General features: G+C 49.5%; 1 protein-coding gene across 3 annotated transcripts in view, besides 12 other annotated features; it reads right to left on the bottom strand.

The window, feature by feature from the left end:
• The window catches only part of PLB1 (phospholipase B1), a 148,083-nt gene that overhangs the window by 14,129 nt on the left and 106,684 nt on the right, over window positions 1-27,270 (bottom strand). For 2 of the 3 annotated variants that reach the window (NM_001170585.2, NM_153021.5), the window contains 15 exons: window positions 27,093-27,193; window positions 25,967-26,048; window positions 25,255-25,359; window positions 24,066-24,161; window positions 23,447-23,518; window positions 15,918-15,983; window positions 12,227-12,287; window positions 11,615-11,673; window positions 9,682-9,749; window positions 9,371-9,414; window positions 9,036-9,135; window positions 4,906-4,957; window positions 3,506-3,586; window positions 1,386-1,451; window positions 829-920 (listed from right to left, as the gene is read on the bottom strand). In NM_001170585.2, the coding sequence (NP_001164056.1) occupies window positions 829-920; window positions 1,386-1,451; window positions 3,506-3,586; window positions 4,906-4,957; window positions 9,036-9,135; window positions 9,371-9,414; window positions 9,682-9,749; window positions 11,615-11,673; window positions 12,227-12,287; window positions 15,918-15,983; window positions 23,447-23,518; window positions 24,066-24,161; window positions 25,255-25,359; window positions 25,967-26,048; window positions 27,093-27,193 (1,145 nt within the window). The remainder of the gene's footprint in view (window positions 1-828; window positions 921-1,385; window positions 1,452-3,505; window positions 3,587-4,905; window positions 4,958-9,035; window positions 9,136-9,370; window positions 9,415-9,681; window positions 9,750-11,614; window positions 11,674-12,226; window positions 12,288-15,917; window positions 15,984-23,446; window positions 23,519-24,065; window positions 24,162-25,254; window positions 25,360-25,966; window positions 26,049-27,092; window positions 27,194-27,270) is intronic. The other variant, NR_138141.2, reaches the window with a different exon arrangement.
• Window positions 4,785-4,944: an enhancer, noted in NCBI's record as "active region_15521". NCBI's record gives its function as "activates an Ori minimal core promoter by ATAC-STARR-seq in GM12878 lymphoblastoid cells {active_cell/tissue: GM12878}" and the evidence as "EXISTENCE:reporter gene assay evidence [ECO:0000049][PMID:35858748]".
• Window positions 5,035-5,184: an enhancer, noted in NCBI's record as "active region_15520". NCBI's record gives its function as "activates an Ori minimal core promoter by ATAC-STARR-seq in GM12878 lymphoblastoid cells {active_cell/tissue: GM12878}" and the evidence as "EXISTENCE:reporter gene assay evidence [ECO:0000049][PMID:35858748]".
• Window positions 8,135-8,224: an enhancer, noted in NCBI's record as "active region_15519". NCBI's record gives its function as "activates an Ori minimal core promoter by ATAC-STARR-seq in GM12878 lymphoblastoid cells {active_cell/tissue: GM12878}" and the evidence as "EXISTENCE:reporter gene assay evidence [ECO:0000049][PMID:35858748]".
• Window positions 18,373-19,037: an enhancer, noted in NCBI's record as "H3K27ac-H3K4me1 hESC enhancer chr2:28833844-28834508 (GRCh37/hg19 assembly coordinates)". NCBI's record gives its function as "activates a minimal SCP1, AML or CMV promoter by ChIP-STARR-seq in naive H9 embryonic stem cells {active_cell/tissue: H9 hESC(naive)}" and the evidence as "EXISTENCE:reporter gene assay evidence [ECO:0000049][PMID:30033119]".
• Window positions 19,018-19,312: an enhancer, noted in NCBI's record as "tiled region #9151; K562 Activating DNase unmatched - State 20:ReprD". NCBI's record gives its function as "activates a minimal TATA promoter and a strong SV40 promoter by Sharpr-MPRA in K562 cells {active_cell/tissue: K562}" and the evidence as "EXISTENCE:reporter gene assay evidence [ECO:0000049][PMID:27701403]".
• Window positions 19,018-19,351: a biological region, named in NCBI's record as "Sharpr-MPRA regulatory region 9151".
• Window positions 19,082-19,351: an enhancer, noted in NCBI's record as "active region_15518". NCBI's record gives its function as "activates an Ori minimal core promoter by ATAC-STARR-seq in GM12878 lymphoblastoid cells {active_cell/tissue: GM12878}" and the evidence as "EXISTENCE:reporter gene assay evidence [ECO:0000049][PMID:35858748]".
• Window positions 21,843-22,474: an enhancer, noted in NCBI's record as "NANOG-H3K27ac-H3K4me1 hESC enhancer chr2:28830407-28831038 (GRCh37/hg19 assembly coordinates)". NCBI's record gives its function as "activates a minimal SCP1, AML or CMV promoter by ChIP-STARR-seq in naive H9 embryonic stem cells {active_cell/tissue: H9 hESC(naive)}" and the evidence as "EXISTENCE:reporter gene assay evidence [ECO:0000049][PMID:30033119]".
• Window positions 22,461-22,628: a silencer, noted in NCBI's record as "fragment chr2:28830253-28830420 (GRCh37/hg19 assembly coordinates)". NCBI's record gives its function as "represses an EF-1alpha promoter that drives an FKBP-Casp9 reporter gene in an ReSE screen in phorbol 12-myristate 13-acetate-treated (for megakaryocytic differentiation) K562 erythroleukemia cells {active_cell/tissue: K562(+PMA)}" and the evidence as "EXISTENCE:reporter gene assay evidence [ECO:0000049][PMID:32094911]".
• Window positions 22,461-23,105: a biological region, named in NCBI's record as "H3K27ac-H3K4me1 hESC enhancer GRCh37_chr2:28829776-28830406".
• Window positions 22,475-23,105: an enhancer, noted in NCBI's record as "H3K27ac-H3K4me1 hESC enhancer chr2:28829776-28830406 (GRCh37/hg19 assembly coordinates)". NCBI's record gives its function as "activates a minimal SCP1, AML or CMV promoter by ChIP-STARR-seq in naive H9 embryonic stem cells {active_cell/tissue: H9 hESC(naive)}" and the evidence as "EXISTENCE:reporter gene assay evidence [ECO:0000049][PMID:30033119]".
• Window positions 23,106-23,737: an enhancer, noted in NCBI's record as "H3K27ac hESC enhancer chr2:28829144-28829775 (GRCh37/hg19 assembly coordinates)". NCBI's record gives its function as "activates a minimal SCP1, AML or CMV promoter by ChIP-STARR-seq in naive H9 embryonic stem cells {active_cell/tissue: H9 hESC(naive)}" and the evidence as "EXISTENCE:reporter gene assay evidence [ECO:0000049][PMID:30033119]".

Raw genomic sequence — 27,270 nt, 5'->3', positions numbered from 1 at the left:
CCCTGCGAGAGAGCAGGGTTCCCTGCAAAAATGGGAACCAGCTGGTCACCTTTGCAGCAAATCCATTTGAGCCCAGGTGTAGGACTCCTCAGCTCCCTGGAGAACCTCCTCTCTCATAGCAATAATCACTCAAACTGTGGGAGGCCCTCTGCCCTCAGAACATGGCAACTTCCTACCAGGGTTCAAGAGCTTTAATGACTTCCAGCCCCCGATAGGAGTTCTTGTCTTGCCCATTAGCACCTTGCCTCCAAGCCCAGCTATCAAGGACAGGCCCCATCAAGGATGGAATAAGAGCTATTTCCTAAGACCCTGCTCTTGGTAGTCTTGGTAGGCCAGGTACCTTGTTTCCTCTTGACCTCACATCTACCTTGCAGGGAAGGTGTCATCACCCCCACTTTACAGATGAGGAACACAGAGGCTCATAGAGGTTATGTGGTTTGTTCAAGGTCCCATAGCTCCTAAATGGCAGAACAGTCAAGGCTGGATGTAGCAGCCTTGAAAGCTCATGGCCCCATGCTGCTTCTCAACAGGGAGCAGCGTGCCAAGGTTTGCCTTGGCAATCACTGACAATGTCAGGGAGCCTTAAGGATCATTTGGTCTGTCTCCTTTCACAGAAAAGCAAAAGGGGGTCCAGAGAAATGAGGCACCTTGCATACAGTAGGCATTTGCAAATGTAGAGGTACTTCCTGATGTTGTCCAAGCCCCTGAGCCATGTCTACCCTCTGGCAGGCCTGCCTGGCTCTGCCTCAACTGGTCTCCTCCTTTGGCACCTGCAAGCCCTCCTCACCCCAGGTGCCCTTGCCTTGGGACGGTGACCTGTCCACTTACTGAGCTGCCAGCATGGCACATTTCCCGCCTTGGCCCTGGTACAGGCTAGCCAGCTCCATGACCTCCACCACGTTGACGAAAGCCCTTGGGAGCTGCAGGGAGTGGAGGGTGGTTTCGTTAGGGCACTGGCTACTGCTGGGAGGAACCTGGGGGTCATCTACAATCCAATTCCCACTCCCCTCAATTTTACCAATGAAGAAACTGAGGCCCAGAGAGGGGATGCAACTTGTAGTATCTCACTGAATCTTCTTGAGTGGCCCCGCTTTATAGGTTGAGAAACTGAGACACAGGGAAGTCACTTGCCCGAAGCCACAGTGCTGGGCGCAAACCTGGGCCAATTGGTTCAGAGGCAAGCTCATTGCTACCACACAACCCTGTCTCTGGCCAAGTGAGAATTTTCCCTGCAGAGGAGCTTGACAGCCACCTCCCTCCCTGCCATCCAGGTGCTCACTCATGGCGGGTCTCTGCTCCGTGAGCATCTCACTGAACACAGCCTGCCTACATGCATCCCAGGGAGGTGGCTGGCGGGACCCAGGAACACGTAACCCCTCTCCTACCTCCTCAGAGAGGATGTCCAGGGCCTGTTGGATGTGCTGAACATATTCCGTGGCCAAGTGGGCCTCCTGTAAGGAAAAAAGGGTACTCTCTTTAGCCCCTGGTGCCCGCTCTGAGAGAATGGCAAGAGCATAGGAGGGCTCTGGGGCCTGGGCTAAATGACTGAGTGGGTACAGAGGGGCTTCGGTGGTCCTGGTCAAACTGAGAAGCCCAGTTCTTGTTGCTGCTGAGTCTCTGTAAGGAATCATCCCTTGTCCCCTACTAGACACCATGAACAATCCCAACCCCCACCCTGCTCTACATAATCTCAGACCCAACAGTGGACTCTGCCAGTGCTGGGTCCTGCCACTTTTTGGCCTTGGCTCTCGGCAGTCCCATCCGTCATCTGACCTCAGCCTTCTCCAGCCCCTTGCCATGCCCTGGGTGGCCACACTTCCTTTTTCCTTTGGGCTTTGGTCCATGCTGGTCCCACTGCCTGAAATGTTTTGCTCTCCTGTGTTCCCCTAACTTCTATCCCCTGTGACTCAGTGTAAGGTTCTCTTCCTCTGAACCATCTCCCCAGTAGGAGGCTGATTTAGAGGTGTGTCCACAGCATCCTGGGTGATGCAAACAAGGTACATAGTAGGTGCTCAGTAAGTCCTTGCAGGCTGAATCTCAGGGCTTTGCTTTATAGCAGAGGGAGATGGGCCTCTATTTTTAGATGTGGCTCTGGGCTACAGGCCCAGAAGGTGTCACAGGCTGATACCAGTGGGGGTGCGGGTGGTAACCTGAAGCTCTTATACTCATGGAAGAAAGCATGTCCACAGGAAGTGGGAGTTGAGGCACCCACAAAGCAGCACCACTCAGGCAGGAGGGGAGAGCTCAGGCAGCCCATTATTTTTTCTGGAGACGAAGAGCTGAGGCCAGGTGAGATACCGTGCACTCAATTCCAGCACACTGATGGGCATAGGACCAGTGCTGTTCGCTGAGTTTCTGGCCACAGCCACCAGAAGGGGTACTGGGAGTTGGGAAGAAGGGGAAAGGAACAAGATAGACAATCCATGCCGAAGAGTTAAAATAGAGGAGAGGGGACCTCGTGTCTCCCAGAGTTTCTGCCTTTCCCCCTTTCCTTCTTTTTAAAACAGTCTGAGTTAATCCTAGTCGGGGCAGCCCAGCCCTTTCAACTAAACTACGCTCTCGGAAGTATAAACCTGACTGTTCCCATGAAGAACACACATCCTGGGACTAGTAGAGGGCATTTCCCTACGCCAGCGTCCACAGTGTCCACGCAGCTCTGGGGTCCAGGTATCCCCGGAGTCCAGAACACAGCAATACTTAAATCCCCATGAGTTAGGGTCACTTCTGCCTCTAGAGTGTGGGTGGTCAGGGAGAGAACTGAGGGGAAGAGGTTTGGAAAACCAACTCCTGTGTGTGGGAGGATACTTCTCATCAAGCCTCTGGTAGTTGGCCTCTGTGAGCCACAAGGAGTGATAAATGCCTTTTCCCCCACACCACCATCTGTGACTGTCAAACATTCGACCACAATCTCTGAGGCTGGGCAGCTGCCTTTTCCCGGCCAAATAAAATACAGAATGTCCCCAACTTAGAACAAGATGTATTCCAAAATAAAAACTTTTGGAAGTTACAACTTCCAGAAGTTTGTGAGTCTGGACATATTTCCCCATGGAAACATCAGGAACAGGTTTGGGCTCCCAGGGCCACCACTGAGGTTTGGTTAACTCGTGATGACCCATCCAACCCCATTTAGAACATTGTTTTGCCCTTCCTCAAAATGAAACAGGGCAGGGATGGGGTGAGGATGGCTAGTCCCCTATCTGGTACCAGAGGTCATATTTGTGTGGATAAGAGAGGCCTCACCTCAGCAGTGCCTACAGTGGGTCCACCTTGGCCTTACTTCTGGAATTGGGGAACCAATGCACCTGCTCTTCCAGGGGTCGCTCAGGCAGTAGAAAAGGCTGGGCCTTGCCTGGCATGTGTAAACCAGGGAGGGCCTGGGGCAGCAGGCAAATGTGGTTCCCATGAGCAAGGAGCTCGGGGCAGGGCCAGGGATGGATGGGCAAGGATGTTGCCAGAGGTCAGCACCTTCCTTCTCAGGTCCCCATGGGGTTGGTCGGGGGCCTACCGGATTCTCACAGTAATGACACAAGTCGTTGACCCCAATGAAGAGTGTGACCAGCTTCCAGTCTTTCTCCAGGTTGATGTCCTGAGGGGACAGAAGATCCTGAGTTTAGGCCTTGGTGGGAGGCACATACAAATGTTGCTACTGGGCCAGCCCGCCCGCCCTCCAAGTGCCTTTTGTCTTATTTATACTGTAACAGAGAAAAGCAGCAAATTGGGCCAGGCACGGTGGCTCACACCTGTAATCCCAGCACTTTGGGAGGCTGAGGCAGGTGGATCACCTGAGGTCAGGAGTTCGAGACCAGCCTGGCCAACATGATGAAACCCCGTCTCCACTAAAAATACAAAAATTAGCCTGGCCTGGTGGCAGGTGCCTGTAATCCCAGCTACTTGGGAGGCTGAGGCAGGAGAATCACTTGAACCCAGGAGGCAGATGCTGCAGTGAGCTGAGATCGCACCACTGCACTCCAGCCTGGGTGACAGAGCGAGACTCCGTCTAAAAAAAAAAAAAAAAGAAAAGCAACAAAGTGGGGCTTCCCAGCCCTCAATTGGTGCTAGGATAAGGTGCTCCACAGAGAGGATGTTTTTTTTTTTTGGCGGTGGGCGCTGGCGGGGGACGGGGTTCTGCTTACACAAGGGAGGGCTATTTTCCCCTTGAAATCTTAAGAAAGTTGTGTCCCTGGAGAAGTAGAATGTGGATGTGTCCCACATATCCTTGGCCCATTAAATGCCGAGGGGATTACCACGTCCCCCCAAATGAAGGCCTTCCAGGGAGCTGTAGGCAAAGGATGCAGCTAGAAGCAAAGGCCCTAAGCTGCCCCTGGGATGAGTTCTTAGGGTCGGGGGAAGGAGACTGGAGGAAGAGCCCAGCGTGGACTGAGAAGCGGGGTTGGGGCTGGGAGGCCCTCTAAGCAGTTGGCTTTCCACTTGGCCACCTCCATAATAGGAATCCCACCGGGAGCTGAATTCCTAGGCATAAACACTGAACGGTTAAAAAAAAAAGTGCTAGTGAGAAGTTTCAGAGGGGCAGGGTGAGGGGAAGGAGGCAGAACTGGATTGGAATGAGAAGCCTATTTTTAGAACCTTGCATTTACATAATAGGGCTCTGGGAAGCCACCTCTTGGTTAAAGCAGGAAGCTGTCAGAGGCCAAGGCCACCACCTCAGCCAACTCCCTGTTCCACCTTGCCCTCCCGCAGCCGGCCCTGGGGTGAGGGGTGCCACAGCCTGCGTCTAGGAGTGTGGCCAGGGCAGGCGCCTCCTTGGTAAGGACTGCTTCTCCGAGGATCTTTTGGCTAGCCCAAAGCAGGAAGTGCTGTGGTGAGAGGGACCCTTATGGGGCTGTCCCCTCCCCAGCCAGCAGGAGATGGGCACCTTTCAGGGGTGGCCTGGGGGCCTGTACTCACGGGGCTGTTTTTCATTCGCTCTACCAGGTCCCAGGCCTGGGCTGGCATGTCCCTAGGTGGGGGGTAGAGAGAGGGGCGTTAGTGCCGGCTCAGGAGCGAGGACTCACGACATGGGATTTTGGCCTAGGAAGAGAGGTGTTTCAAGAAGAATGATGTTACCAGTACAAAGGTCATTCCATTCTCAAGAAATCTCAGCTTAGTAACAATCACATGGCTGCCCTGGACCCTGGAGCCACATTGATCTAGCCCCTGCCACCCAATAGTCTCATCGGCCACTCGGGTTGGGATCCCGTCAAGCCTCCCCTCAGGACTTTCCCTTATACTTCCTCAAGCTCTTTCTTCGTAAGCCAAGCCTGTTCATTTCTTCTTCAGTTGCCTGTTTTAAAAATAACCTTTTGTATATTTGAGAAAAGTCACAGCTCTCAATTATCCCTCAGTTTTCTCCTTTCCAGGCTTAATGACTCCTTTAACCTTTACTTCTAAGCCCTGCTCTCTGCTCCTTTAATCCTTTTGTTTTTCTTTTCTGTGGTTACTTAGATTTCCGCACCATTCCCCATCTCCTCACTTTTTTTTTTCTCCCTCTCCAATAAACCAGGATGGACAGGATTAGTTCTCCCTTCATCCCCTGATGTCTGCCATAAATAAAACAATACCATTTGGTGTTCTGGATGAGCGATATGAATGCCAACGGAACACTACTCAGCCATAAAAAGGGACGAACTATTGGTATACCGAATAACATGGATGCATCGCAAAATCATTTTGCTAAATAAGTCAGATAAAAAGTATATACTCTTTGATCCCATTTATATAAAATTTTTAAAAATGCAAACTAATCTATTGTGATGGAAAGAAGGTTAGTGGTTGCCTGGGGTGTGAGGTAGGGACAGGAAGGAGCAGGAGGGAGAGATTACCAAGGGGCCTGAGAAAACTCCTGTGGGTGATGAACACATTTTTCATCTTGATTGTGGTGATGATTTCACAGGTACAATGTTAAATTGTATCCTTTTTGAGACAGGGTCTTGCTCTGTTGCCCAGGCTGGAGTGTAGTGGTGTGATCACGGCTCACTGCAGCCTCAACCCCTCTGAGCTCAAGTGATCCTCCCATCTCAGCCTTCCGAGTAGCTGGGACTACAGGTCCATGCCACCATGCCCGGCTAATTTTTTGTATTTTTGGTAGAGACAGGGTTTCACCAAGTTGCTCAGACTGGTCTCCAACTCCTGGGCAATCTGCCTACCTTGGCCTCCCAAAGTGCTGGGATTAGAGGCGTGAGCCACCGCACCCAGCCAAATTATATCCTTTTAACATGTGACGTTTATTGCATGTCATTTATACCTCAATAAAGCTGTGTTTAAAGAAATGTCTGTGAGAAGTTAGGTCAGCAAAGGGGATATAGCCAATGAAAGTGTCCATGGAAGAAGCCATAAAAGCAGCAACCAGTGCGAGCTGGCCACTGAAAATCTTTGGGTGGCCACGGTAAGCTAGGTACGTGGCCAAACACACATGGTACCATCCCTACCCTTGTTTCTCATTAAGGAGAATTTACAGATCTAGGATTGTATCCCATACATTATTGCTATTGATGAGTATACCAGAAAGCTATAAAGAAAGACTTTTCTGGTCAAAGGTGACCACAGAAGTGCCTTTAACCTTTTAACAGGTTCAAGGTGTGACTAAGAGAATCCATGGGCAATAAGCCCTCGTGGGTAGGAGGGGAAGTTACAAATGCCGCTTCTTCCCCTCTTCCTAGCCATCTTCTTCCCATCCTTCAGGCCCAGACCAAGTCCTACTTTCCCTTGAGCCTCCTCTCTGGGCTCCCTGATCCACACATCTTGCATTTCCTTTTTTACCCCAGGGACCAGTGGTTCTACTTTCAGCTCTGCTACCAACTTGCTGTTGAGCTTGTACAAGTTGCTGAATCTTGCTAGGATTGACTTTTCCCATCTTTTAAAGGAAGAGGTTGGACTGGATGATTTCAGGGGTCCCTTCTGGGTCTGCATCTGTCTTTAGACAGTGCAGTTCATACTGTGTGCTCTTCTGTTCTCTTAATTGTACTCCATGCGAAGCACTGCATTGTTGCCATACCCAGCATTGTCTTTTTCAGAAAGTTATTTCCCATTTGTTTAGCCTCCTTACCTAGAGTGCAAGCTCTTCGTGGCCAGGGAGTTCATCTTTTGATTCCTTTGTATCTTTTATTTATTTTTAATTATTATTATTTTTGGAGATGGAGATTCATTCTTGTTATCCGGGCTGGAGTGCAATGGCACGATCTTGGCTCACTGCAGCCTCCACTTCCTGGGTTCAAGTGATTCTCCTGCCTCAGCCTCCCGAGTAGCTGGGATTACAGGCGTGTACCATCACACCCAGCTAATTTTTGATTTTAGTAGAGATGGGGTTTCACCATGTTGGCCAAGCTGGTCTTGAACTCCTGACCTCAGGTGATCCACCTACCTCGGCCCTCAATGTGCTGGGATTACAGGTGTGAGTCACCATGCCTGGCCCTTTGTATCTTTTAGTAACCACCTTAGGGTTCACTCTTTTGCAGGTGTTCAATGAATTCTTATTGGTTGATGGAAGGAAAGTTAGATGAAAAAAACTTTGAAACTGAAGATCCATTATTAAATGGCAAACTTTTGGTACATTTGTACTGTACTGCTTTTTTGGTGGGTATTATGTGTGGTACTACATTCTTTTCACGGATTATTTATCTCATTTAATCCTTATGACAACCCTGAGAAGTACTATTATTATCCCTATTTATTGCTGAAGAAACAGACTCAGAGATGCTAGGCAACTTGCCCAAGGTCACACAGCTAGCAAGCCTTGGAGCTGGAATGTAGACACGAATGATCTGATCCCACACCCTATGATATTAGGTGTTCTGCTATGGTTTGTATGTTTCTCTTTAGGTGAACTCATCTGTATCTATGCTAATAAACAACAGAATAGAGATAAAGGAAAGTTATAGAGCAATTATCCAACCTCCCTTTCTTAAGTCAATGGATTACTTTCCTTTCCCCTAACATTGGACATCAGAGATACCCACAAGGAGCCCCATGTTCTCAACTACTTCCCTGGCCACTGACTTCATCTGGCAGAGGAGCTGAGCAGCGGTAAAATAGAAAAGGCAATAAGAGAAGTGAAGTGAGAAAGGAAGAAGGGGCTTGATTGTCAACAGAGTGAGAAATCACCTCCTGGAAAATGAAGCCTGTACTGTACAAGAACAACAAAATGATGATGATAATAACAATAATAACAGTAATTAGATGTTGCTATAATGACCTCATAAAGCCCAGTTTTTGCAGAAAAATAATTTCTTCCTGCTCGTGACGTTGAGGAACTGACATCGCTTCCTGTGGCTTAGAGACTCAAACAGAGCATGGGGCCCACGTTACCACTTCTGAAAGGAACATTCCCTGTAAACAGAGTGAGTCAAGCCAGTGTCGTTTCCCTGGTGATCGGAGCATAGTGATCCTTCTACAAGGCATACACCCAGCACGCTCCATGCAGAAAATCAATGAGCCTGGTCAGGCATTTCAGCTTTAATTATCTGAGTTGTTGTCAACAACAGAAATCCCAGTGAAAACAAACAGCCACCATGCTGTTTTGGGGGCCCTGACATCTAACTCCCTAGTGTCAGAATATAGCTTTTTCAGAGCCAAAGACTGAAGTGAGGTGGGGAGAGAGAAAGGGCAGCTATCCCCCGGGTCATGCACTCAGTTGTCGAGGTGCTGAGAGCCACCCTGCACGTTTGACCTGCTGGGCAGGAGGTGGAGCTGGAGCCAGCAGGGACAGCGCCCGGGTCCAGGGCAGATGTGCGCCTCCTGCTGCCCTGGAGAGGCGGTAATAGCACAGTGGTCAGAGCAAAGGCTCCTGATTCAGGCATGGTCTGATCCTGCCTCCTCTGATAACTTGCTGGATAATCTTGGTGGTTCTGGAAAGCTTATAAGCCTCAGTGCCCCTGTCCAAGGGTGTGAGGATCTCAGGAGATAATTCACATAGAAAGTCCTGCACAGCTGCTATTGCCCCTGGGACCAGGCTTCTGGACACCACCCTCCTCTCCTCCGGTTTCCCACCCTGATGTCTCAGTCTTGCCTTCCACTCGCCCTCCTGTACGGCATCTACTCACCTAGCTCTGGCCCCTTCCGCTGCCACATTTAGTCCTGCTGTCCCCTCCCAGGTGCTGGTAGAGAAGCCAAGGAGGTAAGGGTTGAACTTCTTCAGAATGTCTTTAGAGGAGGAGGAGGAGGAGAAGAGCACAGGTGAGAGCCTGCAGGACCCTCACAGTAACTGAGATGAGCATGCAGGGTGGGGACATGGGTGGGACACAGGAGTTCTGGGGCTTTTCAGGGCTGGCTGACTTCCCTTCTTGCAGATAACCTCCTCTTCCCCTCCTCCAGCAGGAAGGCCCTGGCCCCAGGGAGGACGGCCACAGTGATGGTGCCTCTCTGGGCTGCTACTTACTGGGCAGTGTGGTGTGAGTCTCCAAGTTCCCATCCCCTCCAATGCTGGGGAGGAGAAAGCATATTTGTTAAACTCACACCAACATGCTGCTCCCTGTGTCAACATATGCACAAGCCAGAACCGGAACCGGGTTCTGGGCCCCTGGGGCGTCTCTCCCATCACCCTCAGGGGTAATGCAAGCATTGAGTCTCCTGTCTCAGCGCTGGGACCTGGGGACCCAACTGCATCCCTGGAGGGGTGACAGGAAACACACTACTCACACCTCTCTGAGAGAGCATCATCAATAGAGCATGCATCAAGAACATCCTCACCTCCAAGAGAGTCCCCTCCAAGATGTGGGTAGGTCACTGGAGTTGTTTGGTCGAGCTCCCACTGCTGTCTGTAAAAAGCAAAAAGAAAGTTCAGGGCTGGGGTATAGGCTGAGGGCACTGGAAGAGCCTCCTCTGGCCCTGGGGTAGCAGCTAGGACCTGGATTTGCCTTTTCTAAAAATAGTACCGGCTTTTCTCCAGGCCATATTAAACTTGGAGTGGTCTTGATACATTCTTCTCCTCAGTTCTTTACCTACAGCCAGTAACCAAGTCCTGTTGGTTCCTCCTTTCCACTCTCCCTAGCACCCGCCCCTTTCTTTCTGTTCCCTTTGCCGTGTTCCTAACTGAGACCCTCACCTCCCTGCCACGGGCAATACGCTGGCCTCCTGCCTGAGTGAACTGACTCCAGTTTCTGTTACTCCTGCACATGCCTCTTTCTTCATGTTCCCCAACCCCAGCCCTGACCCTTCAATGAGTCTCCCTTACCTTCAAGATTAAAGCCAAATCCCACCACCAATCTTCTGAGGTCACCATAATCTGGTTTCTACTTTCCTTACCCTTGTTTGCTCCCTCCTTCCCAGTCCACACAAATCTTCAGGGCTAAGCTAATTACCTGCCATTATTTTGGAAGCCTGAGGGCCTTGAGCTGGTCTACCCCATTACCACCCACTCCCATACCCTCATGGAATGCTGAACTCCCTCCTTTCCAGCAGCTTACATTTCCAAATTCGTTCTCTAAGACCCTCATCAGTTCCTATCTCCTCTATACAGCTTTCTCTAAATGCCCTGTCTTAAAAAAAAAAAAAAAAACAAAACCTTGAAATTTACAAAAGTAACAGATGTGAAATGATACAAATATTTAAACAAACGAATAATCTACCCCTACCTTAAGAATCCTGCCCCTTGCCACAGATTCCACACTCCCTCCTCACCCACATGCAAATACCACCAGAGCTCATTAGTGGTGAACAGACTCATATGTGCCTTTCCACATCTTTTTCCATGTTCATGCCAAAATGGAAACACATTCACACACATGTGGGGCTGGTGTTTGTTTCTACCGAAATAACTACCCTATTTTAAAAGTCCTAGGTGGAGGGGAACAACGCACACGGGGGCCTATCAGACAGTGGAGGGTGTGAGGAGGGAGAGGATCAGGAAACATAACTCATAGGTACCAGGCTTAATACCTGGGTGATTAAATAATCTGTGCAACAAACCCCATGCCACAAGTTTACCTGTGTAACAAACCTGCACATGTACCCCTGAACTTAGAAGTTAAAAAATAAAAATAAAACATCCAAGTCCTATATGTCATCTATGTGACTATGCATTTCTTTCTGTGTACGTTTCTTGTTTTTCCAGCCAGACAGGTTGCTGGGGGGCTATGACTGTGTTTCATACCTCATTTCCCTTAGAATTGCTAATAGAGTGTTGGTGTACACAACAATGGCTAAGTAATTGGCGAACACAATTCACTTAGCAAGACTGTGCTATGTGTGAGGAACCGGGCTCCCTCTGCCCCAAAGCACATGTCCTTAAATGGAGTAGGGAGCATGGGGCAGTGTGTGTGTAAGACCTGCCACTCTGAGTCTGGGTAGATGGAGATGAGTCCCCTGATGAAGGCAGGCAGACTTGAATGAGTGCCATCACACACCAACAAAACGCCTGTGAACAGTGGGGAAGGCGGGGATTGCTTCTCCCTGGGGAATTGAGGGGAGGCCTCATGGACGAGGGGGCTTTGAGCAGAACTGGGAAGGTGGCGAGACAGGGCATTCTACATCTCCTGGCTGTGTTTCAGTGCCTGACATGGGTAGGCCCTCAGTAACACGGGCTCAGCACTGAAAGCGGAGCCAATGCTGGGGAAGCACAGATTCTGCGCAGGGCCTGGCTGGACTCTGAGCTGCCCATCCTGGTTCATGGCTCACTACTCACAGTCAGAGAGTCACCCAGGGCGGCCACCACTTTGATGTCTGCTGGTCGGAGCTGGTGGACTAGGGGAGACAAGCAGAGAGGTGGTTGTGGGGGCTGGGGGTATCTACCTCTTAAAGTACACATTTTACCAGAAGTCTATAACTCTGTCCCACTGCTCCCCATTGTACTTATTTTCAGCTTAAGGCTTTAGCAGTTTTGCCCCTCCCATTCATTCAGACCAACCAAGGCACTGCAGGGAATGGGTTCCATGGCTATCATCCACCCTCAGAAGAGCCTGATTGACATTGGGGTGGTCCAGGAAAGTTCCAGCTGCAGGGTCATGTAGCACAGGCAGGTAGATCCCAATCCCTGACTCTACCTGCCTCACTGGGCAGGGAGGCCTAAGGGACTGCCACTGGGACTATAAGGAGACAAGAAGTAGCATCCAATGGAGAGCTCTGTGCACCTCCACATGGAAGCCCAGCTGTGGCGGCAGGCCGCAGGATCTAGGTCTGCACTGCAGGGGAATTAGCAAGTCCTGCTTAAAGCTCCAGGGTATGTTTGCAGGGTCTCCCCACAACCTGATATTCGGCAAGGCCCTTAATTGAAGGAGATGATGATGTTTTCACTCACCAGAGGTTGGAACACTATTGGAAGCCTTCCACTCTGTACACAGGAAGTCACTGCCCCAGTTCTAAATCAACAGGAGAAAAGATTCAGTGCCCAACACTCATTGTGCAGGGAGATAAGCTTCAGCCCAAGAAGAACCAGCTAAGGGATTTTTGATGGAGGCTAGAAATGAGTCACCATACAGGATCATGTGAGGGAAAGAACTGTGAGTTATAGGTGGGCTAGGAGGGAAATTAAAGGGGGAGAAATGGGTGTGTCTAGCTACCCCTATGCACAACCCATAGTGCATGTCTCCACATGTGCACCCACACACCACCTTTCTTATCCCCATATATCTATGCTTTGAATGGAGCCAGTGGCTGCCCCAAAGCAGGGAAGAAAACCATGAAGTCCTACACAGGTGGGTCTCCCAAAGGAACACAGCATTTGGATGCCTAACATGAGATTACAGGTATGTGTGTTTTATAAAATTAAGCTAACTGACACTAATTATAATGGTAGAACCTAGACAATAATTAAAATATTTTTAGAATAATAACACAAAATATTTTAAAATTGTAAAGCTCCTGGTTTCTGCCTGTCTTTTCTGGATACCTGTATGTCTTTTTGCATATTTAACTTAACAGCCTTATTCCTTATATGTTTTTAAATTGATGTAAGCAACCCTGGATGCTTTTAGTCAATTTTCTTTGTCTCTAATACAGAACATATTTTCCAGGTGCTGGGGAAAGGAGTGGGATGGGAAGCAGAGGGCATAGAAATGATTAGTACCAGAAATCTGGGGGAAAATTGAGTATCTTCCCAAAGTCTCAAATATATGCATACTGAGTATGGAGTAGGGCTTGACCAGCAGATTGACTGTCCAGGAGTCTGACTGCCAGATGCTATGAAAACTCATCTCATCTGTTCAGTCAGATGATGAAGATAAGACTTGTTGAAATATTCCTATCATGAGAGAGCAAAAATGGAACTTCTTTTAAATATTATTTGCTTAATCCTATGGAATTTGGTTTTTTCCCAAGGGATTGCTCAATTCATCATTCTGATGGATTTCTTCTGTTTAAAGGTTTAATGAACTCAAGAGCATGCTTGTGTGCAGATGACAAATACTCACAGAAAATGCAACGTAAAAAGTTATTCAGCCATCAGCACATGAGATATATCTCAGATAGTTGGTGAACCAGAGATAAGCATATTCCATGTAGATTAACAGATCCTGGTTGGAATTGAAACGTGCTCATCCGTCACAAGGGAAGAACCATGCACCACACCCAAAATCAGTGCATCCAAATCCCCTGAAGATCTTAAGCTGCAGATTCTGATTCAGCAGGTTTGGGGTGGTGCCCAGGACTCTGCATTTCTAAAAAGCTCCCAGGTAAAGCCTCTTTGTGGCCACTTTATTAGTTTTGCTTTTATTATTTTTAATTGACATATTAAGTGTACATACTTATGAGGCATAGTGTGATATTTTGATACATCTCTACAATGTGCAGTGATCAAATCAGGGTAATTAGCCTATCCCTCACTTCAAATATTTACCATTTCTTTGTGTTGGGAACATTCAAAATCTGCTGTTCTAGCTATTTGAAAATATATGGTAAACTGTTAACTATAGTCACCCTACTGTGCTATAAAACACTAGAAATTCTCCTTCCTATATAGCTGTAATTTTCTGTTAATCAATTTCTGCTATCTCTACTCCCCAACCACCATCCACCCTTCCCAGCCTCTAATAACCACTATTTATACTCTACTTCTGTGAAGTCAACTTCTTAAGCTTCCGCATATGGTGAGAACATGTAGTATTTGTCTTTCTGTGCCTGACTTATTTCACTTAACGTAATGTCCTCTAGGCTCATTCACGTTACCTCAGATGACAGAATTTTGTTTCTGTGGTTACTTTGAGTAGAAAGCTGTTAAAACAAACACACGCCCTTCTAGCTCTGGGATTTTTAGCTCTTCCAGCAGCAAAAGCAAAGATGCATGAGACTGAAGAACCAAGAGGGCAGATCCAGACCCATTCGGCTCACCACTGTCTACCGAGCACTTAGTGCAGTGCCCACTCTACATAGGCATCCAATAGGTAAATGAATAAATGAAGAAATGCCTGATTCACAAGATGCAGCTGACATTTCAATTCTCAGGGAATTTGGTCACTGGTTCAATGAGGACAAGCCTCCACTGGGCTAACGTGAGCCTGAGAAAATTCAGAGAGGCTGGACACAGCATAACCCGCAGCCAGCAATCTGGTATTGCTTGCACCCCAGAGCTTAGCATCCAATAGTTCTTAATGATTTCATATGGGTTAGTTTCTTCAGCTGGCTTATAAAATGTCTTTCCCCAATCACTCCTGCTGATGGCCAACCCATTCTACACATAGCAGTCAGGGAGATCTTTGAAAGACGTGAACCAGATCATGTCACTCTCTCCTGAGACCGCCAATGCCTTCCCATCTTTCTCCACTTGAAATCCAGTGGTTTTACTCAGTAATTCAGGCTTTGTGTGATCTGGCTCCTTGGCACTCCTGATCTCATTTCCCCCACTCTCCACCTCATTCTCATGCCCCCAGCCACTCTGACCTTCTTTCTCTTCCCCAAATACACCCAACACAGTCCCACTTCTGAGCCTGTGTGGTCCATGGTCCTTCTGCCTGGGACTGTGTTCCTGGCTCCCTGTATAGCAAGTGTCTCCTCATTATGCATGTCTCAGTTTAAATCTCACCTCAGGAAGGCCTGGCCTGCATGGTGCACCTGAATTTGCCTCCCTTGCCCCAGCCCCATCACGCTCCTCAGAGCTGTCATCACTATCTGAAATGACCATGCCTAGCCATGTATATAAGACACCTTTCTCAGTAGATTGTAAGCTACGTGAGGGCCGGGATCCATCTGTCTGGTTAACATTTCTGTCTTCCTGGAATAGTGTCTGGCACATAGTATGTGCTCAATAATTGTGAAATTCTACTGGGCTCTCACTTCCCTTGGTCCGGACCATGTTCGATACTTCTCTGCATGCCTTCTAGCCCCTAACATGAGACTGGATATAATATAGGTGTGAAACTGAAACTGCGGGTCAAACCCCATCCTGGTGACCAACAGACCTGATCCGGACCAGGCCTGACTGCCAGTCATGGTATAGTCCGGGGTCCTCCAGGCCGTCTTTGCAGTGGCCGTCCTAGGCTCACAGACATGGTTAATCCAATGGAATTAACCATGGGCTCTGAATCCTCAGCACTAGAATGATTGACTTGAACCAAACAAGGCCTAGGGGCCCACAGGAACATGAACGTGCCTCCACTTCCTTTTGGGTCCCATCCCCAGAATTGTAGTTCCCTCCCACTCAGCCTCCACCTTCCAAGAAGTCAACGCCACATCACACCAGCTGCCTCTCCCTCTTGAGAGGCTGAGCTGCCTAAGCAGTAACCACGTCTGTGAGCCCAGGATTGCCAAGGTCAAAGAAAATCGATCCATAGACACTTCCTCTGCTTGGGGGCTGACGTCAGGTAAGCAACTTGAGAACATGTTAGGACAATCCTGGGGCTTCGTGGTCCGGGAGCCTTTTCTGTACATTCCAATCCCCAGTATGTAAGAAGTACATTTCTGCTTCAGTGAATACTCTGAAACCTGTACCACACCCGAGCCCCTGGCAGGTGGAAATGGTTTGTGTCTGAGAGAGGCAGATGTGAGTCAGGGGTTACCTCAATGGCTGGCTTGATGGGGTACGTGTAGTTACTATTCCGAGGGGTTCTCAGGAAGGGCTCATTCTAAGAGAAAAAAAAACACATGGAGAAGTTATCTGACAGCACTGAAGTTTGCTTGAGAAGGAGAAAAACTAACAATCCTGCCCTGTAGATTTATTTAACATGATTCTTCTGCACTTATATAGAAAGAACTGTATAAACATAATTTCATTCATTCCCCCGGAGGGTTTTACATAACAGCTTTGGCAAGGGATGGACAACAAAAGGCGTGCAGAGGGTTTCATACCCATTGTAGTCTGGGGTCTGTGCTTTTGTGTTCCTCCTAGCAACTGAACAGCTCCCTAATCCTCAGACCTATCTATTTTCTTGGCTTTGTAATTTCTCTAGCAAGGGATTCATGTTTCAGCATTTTTTTAATCTTCCAGAAAGTGTTATGATTATCAATATATTTGAGTATCTGTAATGTTTTTCTTTCTGCCTCCTTTGAACTGTATGTCTTTTCCTCTTTAGGTTGGGTTCCTGTATCTTAGTCATTTTTTTTTTCTTGTAAAACACCCTCCTCATTCCCTACTTACCTATCTGTTTTACAATCAGTTTTCACATAAGCCCAGTCAAGAATCCAAGTCCCCCCAGTTGCAGGTGAGGAGTTAGTTAAAGAAGGAAGAAGGAAGCAGACAAAGAAGAAATGGGGAGAAAGCTAATGAGAAAATGTATAAATGACAGCAAAGCAAGATCAAGTTGATAAGACTGAGATCAGGAAACAGCAACCGGGCCCAGGGCTGTGAGCACTCTCACAAAATGTGCTCAGTGGAGTAGTAAGCCCATGGTCTGAAAATGTGAGAATAAAATGGGAACAAGAAGAAAAAACCAGGCTGGCACAGTGGCCCATGCCTGTATTCCCAGCGTTTTGGGAGGCCAGGGTAGGAGGATTGCTTGGGGCCAAGAGTTTAATACCAGCTTGGGAAGCATAGCAAGACCCCATCTCTACGACAAATTAAAAAAATAAATTAGCTCAACATGGTGGCATGTGCCTGTAATCCTAGCTACTCAAGAGGCTGAAGCAGAAGGATTGCTTGAACCCAGGAGTTTGTGGTTACAGTGAGCTATAATTGTGCCAGTGCACTCCAGCCTGGGCAACAGAGTGAGACTCTGTTTCAATAAAAAAAAAAAAAATTAGTCTGGGCACAGTGGCTCACACCTGTAACCCCAGCACTTTGGGAGGCCAAGGGGGGGTTCATCACATGAGGCCAAGAGTTCAAGACCAGCCTGGACAACATGGTGAAACCCTGTCTCTACTAAAAATACAAAAAAAAAAAAAAAAAAATCCAGGTGTGGTACACATCTGTAATCTCAGCTACTTGAGAGGTTGAGGCATGAGAATTGTTTGAACCTGGGAGGCAGGGGTTGCAGTAAGATGAGATCATGCCAGTTCACTCCAGTCTGGGTAACAGAGCAAGACTCTGTTTCAAAAAAAAAAAAAAAAAGGGAAAACCAGAATGTTGGAAAAGTGATCTCGTCTCATACCTGACCACATGTACGCAACCATGTTCTTGCCTGGCATTGTAGATGACTGACTTTGCAACCCCCAAATGCCCCACTTTATAGATGAGCAGCTGCTGAGCCCCAGAGTGAGGAAGGGACGGGTTCCAGGTTAGGGAACAAGTGATGAATGCCAAACTGGGGCCAGAGCTGACTGGACAAGCCTCTTGCCTGGTTCCGTTCCTCACACTGGAGGTCAGGCCAACAAAAACCCTGTTGGTCAGACAGCGGGAAAGGAAGAGAGGGACTCAGCAGCGACTGGGAGGACAGAGTCCACCCACACAGAGCTCTCAGCCCCCAGCTCAGATACTGGTTCCCTGAGGCACCCGACAAGTCTCCCCTTTCCCTGGTCTCAGCATTCCTGTCTGAAACAGGTAACCGATATCCTTTCTTTCTTGCTTGCTTTTTTGAGACGGAGTCTTGCTCTGTTGCCCAGGCTGGAGTGCAGTGGCGCGATCTCGGCTCACTGCAAACTCTGCCTTCTGGGTTCATGCCATTTTCCTGCCTCAGCCTCCCGAGTAGCTGGGACTACAGGCACCTGCCACCACAAATGGCTATTTTTATTTTTTGTATTTTTAGTAGAGACGGGGGGTTCACCATGTTAGCCAGGATGGTCTCGATCTCCTGACCTGGTGATCCGCCCGCCTCAGCCTCCCAAAGTGCTGGGGTTACAGACGTGAGCCACTGCGCCCAGCCCCTGACATCCTTTCAAGGAGAGGTACTCAGGGCCAAGTGGGAGAAGTGAGCCCTGGACCCTCTACAACAGCATAAGACAGGAGAGGGCTTATGGTGGCAGGTCCATGTAGCTACTTGGGCTTGTCTCGGGTTAACAGTAAGCATTCCCTGAGCATTCACCAACAAAGAGGGCGATCTGGGAGCATGCTATAAACAAGTGACCCATGCTGGTTGAGCAGCTCAAGCGTTAGAGAGCATTTCTAGGTGCCAGGATGAGAGGAGGAGAGAGAGAAACTCACAATTGGCTCAGGTGGGGAGACAGACTTGAGAAGCTGAGGCAGTGAAGCATCAGAGAATGGCATGGCCAGTCAGTGTAGTACCTGCTGAGGAACTGAGGCAAGATTTGGAGAGGTAGGGTCCTCAGAGACAAGACTCAGTGGCATTCTCCCTGCACGTCAAAGGAGCCCAGACTCAGCTTAGGGTCCAGGGGCTGGAGTCAGTCCTACCGTGACCAGAATGGGAGGCACTGAGGGAAGGACAAACTTGACCTTTTTGGAAGTGCTGCGAGTGCAACTGGACAATGTGTTTCATTGAATCTATTTGATCACAAGATCTACAGGTTGGGGAAAGGGAGGCAGAGCTAGAGGGCTAGAGGTCAAGGAGACACTAGAATGTGTTGCAGACTGAGGCCATGGCAAGAACAATTACAGCCCAGGGTTGTGGCAGACAGGCAGCCGGGGTGCCTCAGGGCTTTCCTCCCCCTCCCCTTCTTTTCTTTTTTTTCCAACTCCTATGTTCCTGTCTAATGGGTTTTATTGGGTTTTATTGGGCTTGTTTTTAGCTGGGTTTATTGACCATTGACCATTTGGTGCATGCATGAGTCAGAGTGGTTTAAAGGCCTGGAGCCAAAGCAGATGACGTGAAAGAGGGGTTTGATTGAGCCTGACTGGCTCTTGAAGGCTAGATTTGGAGCCCCCGTGAGTAGAAAGGGGGGCCGACTGAATGGCAGAACAAGGAACCGGTCTAGTAGTTCCAGCCATGCAAAGACGGTGTGGGCTGCCTGGGGAGGCAGAGCCCAGCCAGCCTCCTGATGTGAGTCAGCAACGTGAGTCAGTGGCTGTGGGACAAGGCCATCAACATCCTGGCTGCTTTACCAGGTGTAGTTCCATGGGGAAGGAGGGGTGATTTTCTTCGCTGGTTGTGCTGGTTGGATCAAACCAGATGTACAGTCACCACCTTACAAGGGGCCACATTCCAAGGAGAAATACCCATATGAGGCAGGGGTTGGCAGCCATGTGTGCAATGAGTGGCTGGAACTGAGAAGACTCTCAGCTGGGTGGTGGCAGTCAGAGGCAGGAGGACATAATGGTATTTCACGGGATGTCCTAAGAGGTTTTCTATCCCATTCCATTCAAAAAGTGCTAGTTCCGGCCGAGTGTGGTGGTTCACACATGTAATCCCAGCACTTTGGGAGGCCAGTGTGGGAAGATTGCTTGAGCTCAGGAGTTTGAGACCAGCCTGGGCAACAGAGTGAGACCCCATCACTATTAATTAAAAAAAAAAAAGTGCTGGTTCTTTACCTACACTGATTTCAGGTGGTAAGAAAGTGTGAACATTTGGGGACAGAGAGCATTAGGACAAATACCTAATGCATGCACAGCTTAAAATCTAGATGACCGGTTGATAGGTACAGCAAACCACCATGGCACATGTATACTTATGTAACAAACCTGCACCTTCTGCACATGTATCCTGGAACTTAAAGTCAAATAAATAAATAAATAAAAAAGAAAGTGTGAACATTTAAGCAGAGGCCATAGGGTGTCTTGGGAGGGATGTGGTAGAAGAATTCCATTATTCTATGAGAGATTGCATCCACAGAAGTCTAAGGCCCTCCCCACTGAGAACCTAAGATTACATAAGTCTATTGTTTCATGGTGGGAAGGTGCGACTAGTTAGCCTTTAACGTACAAAGTGATGAGAATCTGAGCCCCTGCAGTGGCAGTGGGAAAAGGAAGAGGGACAGGTGGGAAGAATCCTATTAGATTCTGGAGGACTGGTAAGAATCCGATTAGATAGGGTCCCTGACATTTCATGCCTGTAGAGCTTGAAAACCCTAATGAAGTTGGCAGAAATAGAGAACTCCTAAGGAACAGAGAGTTTGGGAAGACAAAGAATTAGTTCCTATTTAGACACTCCTTGCTCAGAAAATTATTTTTTGAATGAATGTTAAGCTTGAGATGGTGGTGGGGTCATGGCAGGATTGGATTTAGAAGCTCTGAGCGTCAAAAAGATAACAATGTCACTTATATGTAATTCAATACAGAAGCACTGCTAAACAACAAACTAAGTTTAAGGGAATTTGATAAACTTCGGCTTTTTCTCATAAGAAAAGATAGGGTATGATACATGAACTTATTTCAGCCCCCTCCTGCTTGATCATACATTAATCTGCCTTTTGGGTAACCTTATACCAGATAGAGCATCCAAGGGGAAATGTATTTTAAAGGTCAGAAATAGAGGATTGGAGTTCGGGAAAGGAGAAATGAAGACACAGATTGAGAGACTGAGGAATCCAGCACAAAGAAATTTTACAGGAAATCCTGGAAATGGGTAAGTCTCAGAGTGAGAGGATGTGGAGAGAGAGAAAAGAAAACAGAGGCCGGGCACAGCTGCTCACACTTGTAATCCCAGCTCTTTGGAAGGCCAAGGCTGATGGATCACTTGAGTCCAGAGTTCAAAATCAGCCTGAGCAAAATGGCAAGACCCCACCTCTACCAAAACAAATAAACCAAAATTAGCTGGGCATGGTGGTGCATGCCTGCAGTCCCAACTACTCAGGAGGCTGAGGTGGGAGGATGGCTTGAGCCTAGGAGTTGAAAGCTGCAGAGAGCTGTGATTGCGCCACTGCACTTCCAGCCTGGGAGACGGAGCAAGACCCTGTTTCAAAAAGTGAGTGAAAAAGGAAAGAAAATAGAATGGAGACATGAAAATTGGAGAATATCTACATTTTCAAGACTGGGGAAAGGGAGGAGGAGGGTCATTAAAGGCAAGCAAACAGAAGACCAGAAAAATCAAGGCGATTTAGTGTCCACAAACCCAGGAAGGAGTGAATTTCAAGGGGGAGGTGGTGACTTTTGACAAGGGCTTCAGAGAGGTCAAAAAGAATGAAACCTAAGAAAAGGACCAGGTGTTCAGCCAGCTGCCCTGGGGTTAGGAAAGGAGTGGGCAGAGAGCCCATTAAGGCAGAGTATAGGCTCAGTCCACAGAAGGCTAGTCAAAAGTTGTCTGTAAAAGAATTTGTCCAACTTGAAACTACAACAGAAATCCATGGCGTGCTGTTAAGTCACCCTACCTGGCACACAGAACGTATGAGCAGTTAGACTGCGGATGGGAGAAGGGAGGAGGCTGAGAAAGCTCATGCTCACAGCCATCTCGGCCTCCTGCCTCCCGCCCCCCACTGCGTCTTGCCTGTTGCCTGTTGCCTCTATGTTTAGACACATCTAGGACAAAAATAGGTGCTGCCTGGCCCCTGTCAGCTCACACTGAGATGCTGGTGGACTTTTATATCACTCCAAGGCACATGGGAGGGAGCAGATGGGACTGAGGAATGCAGAATGCTCAGAACACAGTGAAGTTGGGCTGGCCAACAGATGGACCCTTTCAGAATGGGCTCCAATGTTGCTTAGCAACAGCTTCACCAGGGCTGGGCTTCTACTGGTTCCACGAGGCTGGATCTGCTCACCTCTGCAAATCAGTGCAGTGGCTCCATTGGGCTCTGTCTAGAAGGGAGGCACTGAGCCCACTCAGCTTAAGATGCTGCTGGGTGGAGCAGCCTCCTTTTGGGGGTCTCTGCCTGATCTGGGGTAAAGCCTGGAAGTGGTTGCCTCGAAGCCCAGGGTGACAGGGCTCTCCCTGACCCAGTGCTTAGGCTCCAACTCAGTACTCAATACACGTTTGTTGAAAGAAAGAGCAAATGATGGCTGCTTTTGTTATGTAATGGAAGGGGAGTGGACAGTTTGGAAAGGGCCCTCCATGGCTGATATTCAGTATGGCTATAGGGTTGGTAAAATATTGACATATCTACAATATGGCTATTTCTGAGTCCCCAAATGCCCCCACTATCCACGGTCCCTGGCTGCTCCCCTAGAACCCCCAGGCATCCTTAGGAAAGCAGTTAAAGAGTTTACACCTGGCACAGTAGGGGCCTCTAAGGTTTTGCTCCAGGCCTTTGGCCAGCACCTGACCACCTGGACTAGAGGCATCTGTGTTGCACTAGCTGTTGCAGAATCTGACAATCTCCTTAGCTCCAAGCACAAGACCCAGCAACTGAGCCCTCTGCTACGACTGTCTTCACTTCCCATCCCTTCTTCCTGCCATTCTTGCTCTCCTGATGGGGCTGATGGCACACAAGACTGAGCCTGAGCCCAAGACTGGGGTAGGGCAGGCAGCAGACAGGGAGCAGGCATGTGAACAGGGGTGCCCACTCTCTCAGGATTCCCAGCAGACACATGGGGGAGCTGCAGGTCCATTCCCCAGCAGGGAGGGTGGGAGAGGGTGGTGTGGCCGACCTAGGAGGGAAACCCAGCCTCCCAGATTGGGTCAGGCCTTCTGCTTTTATTGCTGCTGAGGGTTTTCTGGCCTTGGCCTTATTTGGTTAAAAAGCCATAAGACCGGGCCTAGAAACAGGAGCTGAAGACAATGAGAACCTGCCCCCACCCCAGGCCTGAAGTCAAGCTTAACAACCACTTACGGATTCCTCCTTAAAAGGAGCCTGGAGCTGCCGTGTCCTGGTAGGCCCACCCTCGTCCCTCCTCCATACAGCTCTGGGCTCTGCCCTTTGCTGCTGTCCTCTGTGATCCTTTCCTTGTGGAATCTCCCTAATCCAGGCTCTCCTCTCTCCAACCACAGCTCTTAAGCCTGCCTGGCTCCTGCCTGGGCCCTCTAACCTGCAGTCAGATTTTTTCATCTGCCCCAAACACCACTGCTAAGAGAAGCCCTCCTGCCATTTTCCTGGCATCCTGATTTCCTCTCTCAGGAGCCCACTTTTCTCACCGGGATCCTCTCCCTCTGCTGGGGCCCAGGCCTCCTCTCCCTGCTGCATCTCCTGTTCCCAATGACAGCTGCACTCTTGTCTCCCCTCTCACCTCCCCTGTCCATCCTCATGGACTCCCCTCCATCCTCCAAATCTCTCAGGCCTCAGTAAGGGGGCAAGATGGGTACTGAGGAAGCTGTGGTGGAGGACGAAGTGGGTAGGGCGAGCTGTGTGCCCTGGTTTGTGGAGAGGAGCCAGGCAGGTCCTCCCCTACTACCTGAGTGGGACAGGTGATGGGCATCTCTGCTCTCAGGTCCAGGGTCTCTGTTTTGCTTCCAAGTGGTTCAAGCTGATCAGGGAAGAAAAGAGAGACACGGGTGTAGTAGTTTGTTTCCATGGAAGTGAACATTCCCTGGCAGAATCCTGCAGTGGGGAAAGCTCAGAACTCGATTTCAGGGGGCTTGGCTCCCACTTCTGGCTCTGCCAGTTGCCAGCCGTGGGGTTTTGGGCCAGTCGCTTTGCTTCTCTGGGAGTAGCTTCCTTGGAGACTCGTCATGCTTCTCTAGCAGGGATATGCAGAGCCTTAAATGAGATAACGTGGCTTAAACTGCCTAACATGGTGGCCGGCACATAGGGAAAGTGGAATGAATATGGGGTTTTGGGCTTGCATTTCTGTAGAGAGGTCCCTCCTCAGAGTTCAAAGCTCTGAGGAGAGGGTGCAGTTGAGCCCAGGCTGAGCAGACTCTTAAGGACTCCGCATTTCCAACTGCATAGACGTTTATAGATGTACCAGCCACTGCCCCCTCAGCCTCACTTGCAAGACTCCATTCTATAGGGGCTGGTGCCCTGCCCTAGACTAGAACCCCAGAGAACAAGGAACACCCCACTTATTTTACCATATTGGTCCAAAGGGCTCTGGCCAGCTGGGAGTGGAATTTCTGATTTGGGTGGATGCAGTCTGGGGCAAAGAAGGACGTATCTGGGAGCCCATCCTGAAAGAGACCAATATACCCCCTCAAGATCCTATTGGTTCAGAGGGAGCCACCACCAGCGGACTTGGCCCTGGGACTGACCACTCAACACCTTCCTTCCCCTGGAGTGCTCCAGGTCACCAGCCACCACAGGGCCCATTCACCTTAACAGAGAGATCAGAGCGATCCCACAAAGAATAGTTTTGGGTGACGCCAACCCCCAACCTTCCTTTTTGACCCTACAAGTGCCCCTTATTCAATTAGAAGTGTCGTATTTATTTTTGGGCACATTCATGTAATGCCCGAGGCCATGCCACAGATGAAGGAGTGGGATCCTGGTCCCGCAGAGAGTCTTAGCCCAGCCAGCTGGGAAAAGCTACTTCCCAGCTTTTGGTCTGCTGGTCCTGGTAGTCTTGGTGGGGAGAATGGAACAAAGCCTTGGGGAAGGCCTGGGTAGTTGGGTCCCCTGACTCCAGCCTCTTCATCTGGAGGTGCTGGGGGTGCATAGAGCTGCTCTCCTTCCTGCTTTCCAGTTAGGTGAGGCTCTTGGGATGGCAGCCCAGGGGGACAGACCTCAGTCCTCACCTGGTCCACTCACAGATCTCTTCTGTTCAGAGTGGAAGTGCCAGGCAAAGGGCATGGCCTGGGTGGAAACAGAGAACCCCCAGAATGCTCCCTTATAACCGCAGCGTTGCACACGAGAGAGACCACGTGCGTGGCAGAAAACTAGTCATCTGGAGCTGGCTGTGTTCATGTTGGCCTCCCTGTCCCTTATTTCCTAAATGATCTTAGGAAGGACGCTTCACATCTCTGCACCTGTGTTCCATGCGGATGATCACACTCATTTCCAAAGGCAGATGTGACAGTTTTATCTATGGGAAGCACAGTGCCTGGCACTAGTAGGTGCTCAACACAATGGAGGCTGTTACAGGGGTCATGGGAGCCTCGCACATACGGATGTGGCTCAGGCGTTCAGGGAGCCTGCACCTGCCAGCACAGCGTCTGGAGAGCTGTGTCTTTCCCATTTTATGCACATGCTCGTGGAAGCAACTGGCAATTCTGCCTTGCATTTCTTCCTCTAAAAGAGTACCATGGGTGAGGGCAGGGGACATACCGCCAGGACAGGGAGCTGGATGTTCTGGAAGAAGGGCTGCAGCACCACAGAGAAGTCCTCCTGCGTGTCATAGCGGCCTGACCCCACCAGCTCGCGCATGCTGCTCTGGGGACACATGCACAGGGTCTTCAGCCCAGGCCCTGGGTGGGCCCAGGACCCAGTGAGGCAAGAGTAGGGGTGGTGGGCAGTCCATCTCCCTGGATGGAGGGGCCGACTCAGCCTTTCCCTTGAGAACACAAATCACCTGAGGGCAAGTCCCTTTCCAGAGAATTTGGAAACAGGTTGGGTCACCTTTTTGTTTTGATTGTAAGTAGACTACTCTCTCTGAAGGGCTAGGCAGGAAGTCCCAAAAGGGATAAAAACCTGGGAAGAACCTCCAGAGGCTCGGCACCTGCCTTTGGAGTGGGAGTGGGGGAGGGAAAGGTGGTCTCATGAGGCATCCAGGGCTACGGGCCAGGAGTTGGGGTTAAGCCCTCAACGGTAGCTGGGCCATGAGGGCTTTTCCACCTGGATCCTACTGGGATGATTCCAACCAGGGCACCTGAGACACCACAGTCACGTGAGACAGAGGAAGGCACCCAGGCTGCTCCCCGTCTCCCCACAATCCCTGACCAGCTTTTCCTTCCCTGTGTGCCTCCTCTAGGGGCTCTGGGCTGTGTGTTAGAGTGAACGTAGGGGAGAGGACACAGCATGGTGCCCTTCTTGGTCTTACCCGGTAGGCTCGGCTGAAGGCCTCCAGCCTGGCTAGCTCTTGGGAGTTCTCCCGCAGGGTCAGAACGCAGTTACACAAAACGCTGCACAAAGAGGGGGAGGCAGGAGGCCCCAGAGCTCAGGCTTCCATCAGGGGCTGGTTCTGATTGCCCAGGTTCAGGGGAGGGGTGGAGAGGCTCCCTCCCGCCCTGGTTTAGGAGCACTCAAGCCTTGAGGCTCTGGCGCACATGCTCAGGGGCAGGCTTCAGGCCTGGCAGGGGCACTGGAGATGGCCCGAGGGAGGGAGCCAGTGTGGGAATGAGCACCCTCTCATACCAACAGAGCACAAGTGTTGGACTGCAGGTGCTGGGCCTGCAACCGATTATTCAGCTGAGCAAATGAATTTGGGCAGTGAAAATTTAGTGTTTAATTAAAAAGAAAATGCATCCTCTGGTGTTGGAGCTGATATTTTGGGGCCTCTGATGCTATGCCTTAGACCTCTCCTTCTTTCACATGAGTGCCCTACTGTGTCCCCTTTGGTTTCATCATGAATTATTTCACACCCATCACATCTACTTAAGAGAGAGATTTCTAAAGCACTTGAAACAATGCCTGGTACACAGGAAGTTCTGTAAGATTTGCTGAGTAAATAGATGTGTAAGATATAAAGAATAATAAAACACACATCCATGTACTTATGGCCCAGTTTAAGAAACAAAACACTCCCAGTTTGAAGCTCCCTGTGTCCCTCCTAATTCTCTTCTTCCCCTAAAGGTAACTGAGTTGCTTGTACCTTTTCCTTGCTTTCTGTTACAGTTTGACCACATATGTCTACTTCCCTAACCACTGCCCATGTTCACAGTCTAGGCTATCCTGTCTCTCAAACACCAGCCTCTGTCCCAACTTTGATCCCTCCCCTCTGTGGCTGCCTGGTATCATAGAAGTTCCTGCCAGGCACCTTGAAGTTGGGTAACAGGGGAGTCATGGCTCCAGCCTCTGGAAGGGGACGTTCTGGCAGAAGTCCTCCTTTACAGACTTGGACACATGGATAGACCAAGTCACAAAGACCCTGAGGCATCACCACTGCATGTGGGCCAGACCAGGAGGTGAGGGCATCTCCAGTGTGGGGACAGCCAGGACCTGCCTACCTGGCCTGCTGCACTGGGCACTTGTCTGGGTTTCCCAGGAACACCTGCCGCATGATAGTGGGGTTCAGGAAGTCCACGAGGTTGACCAGGACTCTGGGCACCTAAGGGAAAAGCTGCAGATGAGAGGGGGGCTCCAGGCACTTCTTCCTGGGGCTGTCTCAGGGCCCCTAGGAATGGG

The sequence above is a fragment of the Homo sapiens genome, chromosome 2 (genome assembly GCF_000001405.40).
Source record: "Homo sapiens chromosome 2, GRCh38.p14 Primary Assembly".
Taxonomy (NCBI): Eukaryota; Metazoa; Chordata; class Mammalia; order Primates; family Hominidae; genus Homo; species Homo sapiens.
The sequence above is the reverse complement of the archived record's forward strand: the minus strand, read 5'-3'. Positions and strand labels throughout refer to the sequence as shown.